A 12,059-nucleotide genomic window follows, 5' to 3' on the forward strand; every position below is an offset into this window, starting at 1 on the left:
GGTGCATAACTTAACCCTTGCCTGGCATGGTAATTTGTTATGTTGCTGCCACAAAGAATCTGTTCTGTCAATCTTAGGATCTCTATTTTAACTTTAATGCGGGTCAATTGTCTGTAAACCAGAAAAGGGAGGGGAGTATAACAAGTCGTGTCTAACCTGCTGTCCTGTCATGGCTGGGAACTCCGTTTTTAAGAATTTTCTGGGGTCCCCTTGGCCAAGAGGGGGTCCATTCAATCTGTAGGGGAGGAGTCTTAGGATTTTATTTTTAGTTTACATTCTCCCCTTTTAGCCAAGATGTGCCAGAGGCAACACTGATGACCAAACATTTATTTTGTCTCATGTCACTGCCAGGGTGGTGTCGTTACCTGCCCCAGGCTCATTTTGTTCTTTGGTGGGATCCCTGTGGCCAAGGGACTTGGAACCAAAAGACTTAAAACTAATTAAACATTGGAGGCCAGATGAAGATGGAGGTTCACAGGCACGCATTAACCCTTAAAAACCTTTTGAGCAACATAACCAAAAAGCAGTGTTACAAAAGTGACTTGTCTATGAGTTCTGTGTGTTGAGCCATGAGCTGTTTGGTAATCTGTATGCCCATCTTTAATTTGGAGGGTCTGAACTAATTTTATCTGTTGAAACTGGCCCTTACAATCTCATGTGCCCACCCCTTCTGTGATAGTCCATGGGCCTACTGGGAGGGTGCTTGATACTGTATTGCTTTAGCAGTAGTGCCTTGGCAATGGAAAGCAGATTGGCCTAGGGGGATTGAATAGTTTTCAAATTCTAGAGATACTAGGTAGAGAGAAAGGTAATCTTCAATGTTTTACCCAATTTCTGTAAGCTGTAAATAGTTTAAAAGAAAAAAGGTTTTATTGACTCTGAAAAGCAAAACATGAAGAATTAGCAATGTTTATTTGATTTTGAGGACATTTGTCAAAGATGTTCAAAGGCTCAAAGCTTTTAATCAAAATGGAATTACAGGTCATTGTAATAGTTATTCATTAAACCAAGAGTAATAATCAAAAGACTTTAAATGCAATATGGAAAGTCACATGGATGTAAAAACCTTAACCCTTTTAAAGCTTAGTTTTCCTAAGTAATAAAAAATCTAATAAAGAAAACATGGGAATTATCTTGATAAAATGTAAAATCTTTGGTTCTTAGGCCAGTTACCAAAAAGGCAAAGAAAAACCTACAGTGTGGTTGCTTCTCCTATGAGAAGCCCATTTAGATAACTTGGAAATCAAACTGTAAAAAGTTTACTTGAATTAATCAGACACAAGAAGAGTGTGTCTGGGGTCATGAATGAACTTTATGTTATGGAGGAAACAGGAAACTAGAAAACTGTACCTTGAGCCGGGGAATACATGACTCTTAATAACAGCATGGGAAGTTTTCTGGTTATATGGAACAATTCGGATATCAGGAAAAGCCAAGAGTACAGAATCAAGGTATACTGTAGGAAAACATTGCTCTTCGAGACCTTCAAGATAAAACATTTTAGCATCAGGCCACAGTGGCAGTTAGAACCAGAGGGAAAAAGTTACAGGAGCTGGCAAAACAGTTGAAGGGAAAAGTTATCATCTCAGGCCTTCTCAAAGGGGGAGAAAAACAAAGTAGCAAGACGCAGCAAAAGTGGAACTTCCAAGATACTAATCTGAGAAGTTTTCAACAAGAAACAGGTTTAGAATTAAAAATCAAAACCTCTTTTAATTGTATTAAGAGTAAATCATATTTTAAGACAACTTTCTTTTAAAACAAGGGACCAAAATTTAGAAAGACTTTTATAAATAATTTTAATTATAGCCAACTTAATCCCACACAAAATGCTTTTCATAAGTATTCTCTCACAAACCTTATCACAACTTAGACCATCTATAACATGCTTGTACTTTCTGATTTGTACTAAATTTCCCCTTTCCTTAATAACCAGTCATTTTACTTTAGGACAGAAATTTACCCTGCAAGATACTTTCATATATGAAATTATTCTCTTTTGAACCTTCCTTACCAAAAATACATCTTCATAGCTAACTTTTTTCACATCTCTCCTACTTACTGGTTTTCTACCTTCTTTCATAACTAACCTTTAAATAACATCCAAATTAAATAAAATTATTCTTTTTCTCCATAAGAACACATTTATTTGGCACATTTTATATATAGAATTCTATATTAACTAAAATTCTTACTCTTAGTAACCTTAAATTTTAGTGAAAACCTAGGAGGCAAGAAATATTGAATTGTCTGTTCTCTATCAGCACTTTAAAGATGAGAATCACGTCACAATTTTTAGAAACGTGTTTCTGGCCAAGCATGGTAGCTCATGTCTGTAATCCCAGCACTTTGGGAGGCTGAGTTTACATTCTCCCCTTTTAGCCAAGATGTGCCAGAGATGACATTGGTGACCAAACATTTATTTTTTCCCATATCTTTGCCGGGGTGGTGTGGCTACCTGCTGCAGGTTCATTCTGTTCTTTGGTGGGATCCTTATGGCCAAGGGACTTGGAGCCAATTAAACATTCTAGGCCAGATGAGGATGGAGGTGAACAGGCACTCATTAACCCTTAAAAACCTTTTGAGCAACAGAAGAGCCAAAAAGCAAGGTTACAACAGTGACTTACCTGTAAGTTCTATGTGACGAGTCATCAGCTGTTTAGTAACCTGTATGACCTGTTAACCATTTTTGTAGCCTGTGAATATCAGATGTTCATTTAAGTCAGAACCTTAAACATGTGGATATTTTTGCCAACAACTCAGAAGCTAACAAAACAGCTAACAACTTAGCTGTTTTCATTGAACCAACAATATTAAATTAGTCTTATTTGTCAAAAAATTCACACAAAGATCATTCTCTTTTTGACTGGGTTTATAGTCTTATAATCTTTTGTGCCAAATCCTGATACCTTAAAACACCTAGCGGAGGCAAATATAAAATAATCAGTAAACCCAGACTAAAAAAAAAATGTATGCTGACAATTCTGAAGACATTTCTAGTTTTATTTTACCAATAATTTTAAAACCATTTTATTTACCAGATTACTAAGTTCACATGAATCTGAAAAGTATTTGGACTTACTTAATTTATGAGTATAATTTACTTATAAACCAGTTTGGTACCATGCTAGATACAACACAACATAATACATGTTCATATACAAACATTTAAACACATACACACAAAGATCTTACAGCTTTTACTCTGGAACCTTAGCCATGAGATGGTAATACAGACTCACCACTTAACAAAAGACAGCTGGATCCAAATTATTTCTGACAAAATTGGGACCTGTTCACATGGCTAAACTTTATTTGTCCCAGTAGGTAATCCAATGAAGGCTATGGACCAAAGTCTTGGGAAAAGTAGTTTTCATGGCAGTTTTATTTTTAAAAACCTTTTACCCCTTTTTTTTTTCCTGAAGTTTCAAATGAGTTTTCAGTGTTTACATTTTAGCTACAATTGGCTGAACTGTAAAGAAAGCTCCAAGTAGCCTTGAATTAGTAGTATCATAAACAATGAGTTTTATCTTAACAGCAGTAGCTTAATAACAGCAAATTCAAAGCAGGCCGAAAACAAAAAAGAGATAGCTTTAGAAAACTCTACATTTTAATTGTATAGTTGCAGGTTGGGCATTTGAGCTCTGAATTTTCCTTGCTGTAATTTGCCCGTTCAGTTTTAAAATGTGCACAAGAACAGGCCACAATATGCAGCTAGCTGAAGTGCTGGAAAACCTGGCATGCCTTTGAACTTCTACAGGAGTTCCTGCCCCTAGTGGGTAAGTTACCTATTGCACTGACTTTATGAAGATATCTCTTCCAGTGCCCTTAGTGTGAGCATCCCCACAAACCTTATGAACCAGTTGAATCCAACCTGAATGCCTCTCCATAAGCCCGGAGCCCACAAATGCATTTTCTCCAGGGCCCTTGGATGGAGGGAATCAGGAAGGCCTCCTCCAAACCCAAGGCTAGGAGAGATGTTCCCTCCGGGGTCCAGGGAGGAGAACAGAAAGGACTGAGAAGAACTAGGAATGCCCTCCCAAACCCAAGGCCAGCAGGAGGGTCTCCTCCGGAGTTCCACAGATGGAGGAGGCCTAAAAGAAGAAATCAAGTCTGCAACCTAAAAGTGGGAGATCTTGGATTTTGATAGCACTTACCCAGATCCTTTCCCAGCATAGTCAGGAACAACTGGACTTTTTCAAAGGGACCTTGGCTGTACCTGGTGTCCTGGGTGACACAGGAAAAGGAATTCAGGGGCTGCTTCAGAATCCCATCTTTGCCAGATACGTTAACTTTAAAAAAAAAATCATAAGATACAAATTTAGAAAAATGGAGACACTATTTCTTAAGGGTGACAGCCTGCCAGGTGGCCATCCTGCAGGCCAGGAAGCACAGCCTCCTCCAGCAGAAGCCCAGAGACAGGCACCTCCAAGGAGGAGGGGTTGGGGTAGGAGTTTTATGCTTTTATGCTGAATGGGTTGGCTTAACACATATTCAACAGGTTACAGGAGGAGCTATGAATATTAATGAAAGTGGTCCTGATGCATGCATATTAAACATGCATCTTACATATGACACATGTTCACCTTGGGGTGGAGACTTAATATTTAAATATTGCAATCAGGCCCTATACATCAAAAGGTCTATTCAGGACATGAAGGCACTCAAGTATGCAATCTCTGTAAACCCGCTAGAACCAGTCATGGTCGGTGGGCTCCTTACCAGGAGAAAATTACCGAAATCACTCTTGTCCAATCAAAGCTGTAGTTATGGCTGGTGGAGTTCAGTTAGTCAGCATCTGGTGGAGCTGCAAGTGTTTTAGTATTGTTTATTTAGAGGCCAGTGCTTATTTAGCTGCTAGAGAAAAGGAAAACTTGTGGCAGTTAGAACATAGTTTATTCTTTTAAGTGTAGGGCTGCATGACTTAACCCTTGTTTGGCATGGCCTTAGGTCCTGTTTGTAATTTGGTATCTTGTTGCCACAAAGAGTGTGTTTGGTCAGTCTTATGACCTCTATTTTGACATTAATGCTGGTTGGTTGTGTCTAAACCATAAAAGGGAGGGGAGTATAATGAGGTGTGTCTGACCTCTTGTCCTGTCATGGCTGGGAACTCAGTTTCTAAGGTTTTTCTGGGGTCCTCTTTGCCAAGAGCGTTTCTATTCAGTTGGTGGAGGGGACTTAGGATTTTATTTTTAGTTTGCAGCCAGGGTCAGTACATTTCAGTCACCCCCGCCCAGCCCTCCTGATCCTCCTGTCATTCCTCACATCCTGTCATTGTCAGAGATTTTACAGATATAGAGCTGAATCATTTCCTGCCATCTCTTTTAACACACAGGCCTCCCAGATCTTTCTAACCCAGGACCTACTTGGAAAGGCATGCTGGGTCTCTTCCACAGACTTTAAGCTCTCCCTACACCAGAATTTAGGTGAGTGCTTTGAGGACATGAAGCTATTCCTCCCACCACCAGTAGCCTTGGGCTGGCCCACGCCAACTGTGGAGCTGGAGCGGGAGGGAGGAGTACAGACATGGAATTTTAATTCTGTAATCCAGGGCTTCAGTTATGTACAACATCCATGCCATTTGATGATTCCACCACTCCTTTTCCATCTCCCAGAAGCCTGCTTTTTAATGCCCGCTTAATATTATCAGAGCCGAGCCTGGAATCAAACTGCCTCTTTCAAAACCTGCCACTATATCCTGGCTTTGTGACCTCAGCCAAGTTGCTTGACTATTCTCAGTCTCAGTTTCTGCACCTGTCAAATAGGGTTTATGTTAACCTAACTTTCAGGGCTGTCAGGATTAAATGAGCATGAACCACATAAAATGTTTGGTGTATAGTAAGTGTACAGTAAATACTTCCATTATCAGTCCCTGCAATTCTATTTTTCTTCCTTCTCTACACAGCCCCTGTCTGGCTTTAAAATGTCCTGCCCTGCTTTTTATGAGTGGATACCCCCAGCCCTATGTGGATTAGCAAGTTAAGTAATGACACTCAGAGACAGTTCCATCTTTGTCCATAACTTGCTCTGTGATCCAGTGTGCATCACTCAAACAGACTATCTCTTTTCTCCTACAAAACAGACAGCTGCCTCTCAGATAATGTTGGGGGCATAGGAGGAATGGGAAGCCCGCTAAGAGAACAGAAGTCAAAAACAGTTGGGTTCTAGATGGGAGGAGGTGTGCGTGCACATGTATGTTTGTGTTTCAGGTCTTGGAATCTCAGCAGGTCAGTCACATTGCAGTGTGTCGCTTCACCTGGCTCCCTCTTTTAAAGATTTTCCTTCCCTCTTTCCAACTCCCTGGGTCCTGGATCCTCCAACAGTGTCAGGGTTAGATGCCTTTTATGGGCCACTTGCATTAGTGTCCTGATAGAGGCTTAATCACTGCTCAGAAACTGCCTTCTGCCCACTGGCAAAGGGAGGCAGGGGAAATACATGATTCTAATTAATGGTCCAGGCAGAGAGGACACTCAGAATTTCAGGACTGAAGAGTATACATGTGTGTGATGGTAAATGGGCAAAAATCATCCCTTGGCTTCTCATGCATAATGCATGGGCACACAGACTCAAACCCTCTCTCACACACATACACATATACATTGTTATTCCACACACAAGGCATAATCCCAGTGTCCAGTGCACATGCATACACGCACACATTCCCTTCCTAGGCCACTGTATTGCTTTCCTAGGGCATCTTCTTATAAGACACCAGTCGTATAAGGAGCCCACCCCACTCATCTGAGCTTATCAACCAATTACATTAGGAAAGACTGTATTTCCTAGTAAGGTCACATTCAGTAGTACTGAGGGTTGGGACTTCAACACAGCTTTTTGGGGGATCATAATTCAACCCATGACAGCCACTGAGATTATTATATCTCCAGAGAATAAATGTGTGGAGTTAAAAGGAAGATACATGTGGTACAAGGGGTGGTAAGGCAAGGGTAAAAGGGGAGGGAGGGGATTGAACTAGACACAGACACATGAGCAGGACTTTGGGGAGTGTGTTTTATATCTGTCAGATGCCTAGAACAGCACCTGAAATATGGGACTCAATCATTTTAGTCCCCTTCTTTCTATAAGTGTGTGTGTGCGGATATGTGTGCTAGATGTTCTTGCTGTGTTAGGAGGTGATAAACATTTGTCCATGTTATATAGGTGGAAAGGGTCAGACTACTAAATTGTGAAGACATCATCTGTCTGCATTTATTGAGAATGTGAATATGAAACAAGCTGCAAGTATTCTATAAATGTTCACTGTTATTAGATATTGTATGTCTTTGTGTCCTTTTATTCATGAATTCTTGCACATTATGAAGAAAGAGTCCATGTGGTCAGTGTCTTACCCGGTGTAGGGTAAATGCACCTGATAGCAATAACTTAAGCACACCTTTATAATGACCCTATATGGCAGATGCTCCTGAATGTGTGTTTCGAGCTAGAAAATCCGGGAGTGGCCAATCGGAGATTCGTTTCTTATCTATAATAGACATCTGAGCCCCTGGCCCATCCCATGAAACCCAGGCTGTAGAGAGGATTGAGGCCTTAAGTTTTGGGTTAAATGACAGTTGCCAGGTGTCGCTCATTAGGGAAAGGGGTTAAGTGAAAATGCTGTATAAACTGCATGATGTTTGCAGGCAGTTGTGGTTTTCCTGCCCAGCCTGCCACCACCGGGCCATGCGGATATGTTGTCCAGCCCAACACCACAGGACCATTTCTGTATGTAAGACAATTCTATCCAGCCCGCCACCTCTGGACTCCCTCCCCTGTATGTAAGCCCTCAATAAAACCCCACGTCTCTTTTGCTGGCTCTGGGTCTCTTTGGCGTCTTGAACCTTATGCCTTCCCTATTGAAGTTAATAGGGGTTCAGCACAACACTGGGTCCCAGGCATGCAGCCTTGTCTTTTTATGTTTGTCCTCATGGGCATCATGTGGGCCACAGGGATCTTACCCAAAATCATGCCTAGCAGGAAGAGATGCCTCTCTATTGATATTCCAGCTGCCCCACAAGCAGGTATGTGCCTACTCATTCTCTGACATGTGTCCTAGGTTTCTTGACTGTAAAATTCCGCTTAATAAATAATGTATTGAGCACCTGCTATATCCAGAGCTCTGCTGGGCACTCTGGAAGATTAGAGTTTGAAGAACACACATTCGTTGTCCTCCAGAAGTTCATGGTCCAGTAGGGAGAGAAGGTCACAAACAGCCAGAATCTACAAGATGAGAGGGGCTATAAAAGAGAGCTGAGAAGAGTTTCAGAGCCACTGAGAAGATACTCATTTTAGTCTTGGTAACGGGAAGCTTTCTGGAGTTGGTGGCATTTAAGATGAACCACAAATGGAGCAGGAATTTAATGAAGAGGAAAGGACCAGGACGTTCAAATAGAGGACACAGCAGAGTTCAGACCAGATGCAGGAAAGGGTAAGTGGTTTGGTTTGCTGTGAGGTCAGGTGCATGATGGAAAATGGTGAGCAGTTAGATGACAAAGATAGGTTAGGGCAGTTATGGTGGGAGAAACCCTGTTTTTGAAGAAAGATACAGTCAGATGGGCACTTCAGCAGCATTATTCTGACAGCAATGTGCAAATAGGATGGAGAGGCACTGAAGAGGCAGGATGCAAGGAGAACAATTCAGACGCAGTTGACATCGCTTGGGAGAGAATGAGGTACTATCCAGGACAGCCCCAAGAGAGTGGAGAGCCCTGTCCTGAGATTCTTGGGAAAAGGTGCCCCAGTATCAACAGCATGTGCCCATAAGCTCCCTCAGCCCACTTGTCAGGCTGGGTCAGCTTGTCCCCCACCCCACCCCAGCTCTCTCCTCTCCTCTCAGAGCAAGCCACCTGCCCTACTCACTGCTCCACCATGATACACCTGTCCTGCCTCAGCCACGTCCCCCTCTGACCATTTCCCCCTTTTCAGGAAAGTGCTTGCAGTTTGCTACCTCCCATTCTTTGCAGCCTCCTTCCGCAAAGCTCTCACCTTGTGTCATCTTTGCCTGTGTGCCCTATGGAGAAGGAAAACAAAGTAAGCGCTGTCTTCCCAGGGCTGCAGGCGTGCTGGCCCCCACCTTCATGCACTCAAGGAGCACTGACTGAGCATCCTGCAACTCTGTCCTGTCCCCAGAAGCCATGCTTTGTGAGAAGTGGGGTAAGCATCACAGAAGCTGGCCACTGGCAGGCGCATGCAGGGCTTCAGACCTGCTCCTGATGTAATCTTTGCTGCACATTCACCTCACCTGAGGACCTGTGGAAACTAGCACCCAGGTCACAGGCCCTGCTAATTAAATCAGAATGTAGGAGCCAGGCAACAATAAATAGCGCTGAAATATCCCCAGCTGATTCCAGTGTACAGCCAAGTTTAGGAACCGTGTCCTGGTGTTTCCCTCCTACTCTTGCTAATATGTAGCTCTACATATCTGTGTGGAGTGAGACTGGCAGAAAGGCTGTCTGGATGCTCCTTCCTGTATAGCTTGGAGGCAAATGGACTCTATACAGCTCAGGGCTCGAGGGGACAAGTCAGAAGGTCTTCCTTTAGTCTCCCTTGAACTTGACCTCTTTAGCCATCTCTTGGTGTGAGTCAGTGTCCTACAGGGATGGCCCCAATGTCCTGCCTGGCCTCTCCTCTCTTAGCTATACTTGTGCCATACTCCTGCAGCCAGACTCCTCCTCTTTTGCCTCTGAGTCATTTCCTCTTTCCTTCATGGTACCAAAAAGCACAATCACCTATCAGAAGCACAAAAGCCTAACTAGAATATGCACATGAGTTAATTCAAGGTCCTACTTAATCCAAGACTTCTCCATCTTTATTCCTATGATTATGAGTCTCATGTGACAAGCCCAGCCAGATGAGGAATGCTGCACCTCACTTTCTTCCTGGTGATAACATGGTGAAATCATGCTAACTTCAATAAGGGGTAATATTGGGGATACAGAAAAAGAGGACTGGCTAACATGATAGTACAAAAGGTCATTTCTAGGAGGTCCCAAAGACTGCAAAGCTCCCTTCACTCATTGTTCTAAAAATGCACCTATCTCATTCCCATAGCTCAAGGCTGTGATCCTTGTTAAAATGGAGATGCTCCTTGGCCACGTTTGGGGGCTAATGCCTGTAATCCCAGCACTTTGGGAGGCCAAGGCAGGCAGATTGCTTGAGCCCAGAAGTTTGAGACCAGCCTTGGCAACACAGCAAAACCCATCTCTACAAAAAATAGAAAAATTAACCAGGCATGTGGGGTGTGCACCTGTAGTCCCAGCTACTCAGGAGGCTGAGGTGGGAGCATCATCACTTGAGCCCTGGAGGTCAAGGCTGCTATGAGCTGAGATTGCACCACTGCACTCCAGCCTGGTCAACAGGGGGAGATGCTGTCTTAGAAAAGGAGAAGATGCGATGCTCCTAATAAGAGTAATAGTTTAACTGTAATCAGCTATTTATATCTTGGGGTGAATGATGGATCCGGATTAAGTTTTGTTTCAAGAGTAGTAGAAGAGCATGGGGACTGAGACAGTCAGAAGAGGTGATATAGAAACAGACACAGAATTTGTTTGACCAAAGGCAAACCTGACAGCTTTTCTGGGTTGTGAGGGCACAGTAAAGTACCTAATCATTTCCTGTGACTTCATTCCAGTGAGACATCCACGTTGGAACTCACTGTGATGTGCCAGGAGCTGTGGGCTGCACAAAAAAGAAGTGTGGTGCCTCTCCTGTGTGTTTCCAGAGGTGGCAGGGTTTATTCCCAGAGTCTGAGTCCTTCTTTCCCCTCTGTGTTCTCACTACAGAGATAAGCAAACCATGATCATAGCCAGTTGGGGACCAAAACCACAACCTTATTTATGGCCAGGAAATCCCCTAGCTTTTCCCCAAATGCAGGGCTTCTGGTTCTATGGGCTGAAGATCTCTGCTTGGGCCTGAGGCCTTACCTAGCAGCTTTGCAGCTCATTAGCAGAACACAGAGAGTGATGGGAACATCGCTATATTAAGACTGTGATGGTTAATTATATATCCATAATTATTGACTGGGTTAAGTGATGTCCGGATAGCTATAAAACCTTCTCAGAGTAACTGTGAGGGTGTGTCTGGAAGAGATGAGCATTTGTATCAGTAGTAATGAAGATTTACCCTCACCCATGTGGGTGGCCATCATCCAATCTGTTGAGAGCCTGGACAGAACAAAAGGCAGAGGAAGGGTGAATTTGTTCTCCCTCTTGGAGCTGAGGCATCCATCTTCTGCCCTCAGACATTGGCACTCCTGGTTCTCAGGCTTTCAGATAATTACACCACTGGCTTTCCTGGTTCTCCAACTTGCAGATAGCATATCATGGGTCTTCTCAGCCTCCATAATCATGTGAGCCAGTTCCTATTTTATATATATATATATCCTATTTCTGGGGAAACCTGACAAATACAAGGATGTAAAATGATGAGTTTGCTGTGCTTGAGCACAAGAGTCAAGAAAACAGAGTGAAACCCTCTTTTGAATCCCAATACTCCCCACTCCTGGGAGGAGTAGAAAGCCCTAAGAGGATGATCCTCCTGCTCCACTTAGAGGATTTGAGGATCCGATTCCCACCAATCTGTCTCTGCTTCATTAGGGTGGGCTTGCCTGGGGAAGAGACTGCAAGAAATATAAAGGAGAGTAAGGAGGCCAGGTATGGTGGTGATTTGGGCTCTTCTTCGGTTCCATATTAATTTTAGAAATGGTTTTTCTATTTCTGTGAAAAATGGCATCCCTATAATCCCAGCACTTTGGGAAGCCAAGGTAGGCGGATTGCTTGAGCCCAGGAGTTGGAGACCAGCCTGGACAACATGGCGAAATCCTGTCTCTACGATAATAATAATAATACGAAAATGAGCTGCACAATGGTGGTGCACAGTTGTAGTCCCAACTACCCAGGAGGCTGAGATGGGAGGATTGATTGAGCCCAGGAGGTCGAGACTGCAGTGAGCTGTGACCGTTCCACTGCACTCCAGCCTGGGCAACAGAGTGAGGCTCTGTCTTAAAAACAAACAAGCAAACAAAAAAAGGAGAGTAAGGCAATGAGACTGAGACTGACTCACATAGA

At 43.1% G+C, this 12,059-nt stretch overlaps 1 long non-coding RNA gene across 1 annotated transcript, besides 1 other annotated feature; it reads left to right on the forward strand.

Annotated features, from left to right (window-relative positions):
* The first annotated feature begins 4,506 nt into the window (after positions 1–4,506).
* Positions 4,507–7,810, forward strand: LINC01963 (long intergenic non-protein coding RNA 1963). Its single transcript, NR_037701.1, has one exon. It is a non-coding gene; the product is annotated as a long intergenic non-protein coding RNA 1963 (long non-coding RNA).
* Positions 10,730–10,939: an enhancer, noted in NCBI's record as "active region_17093". NCBI's record gives its function as "activates an Ori minimal core promoter by ATAC-STARR-seq in GM12878 lymphoblastoid cells {active_cell/tissue: GM12878}" and the evidence as "EXISTENCE:reporter gene assay evidence [ECO:0000049][PMID:35858748]".

Source organism: Homo sapiens, chromosome 2 (assembly GCF_000001405.40).
Source record: "Homo sapiens chromosome 2, GRCh38.p14 Primary Assembly".
Lineage (NCBI taxonomy): Eukaryota > Metazoa > Chordata > Mammalia > Primates > Hominidae > Homo > Homo sapiens.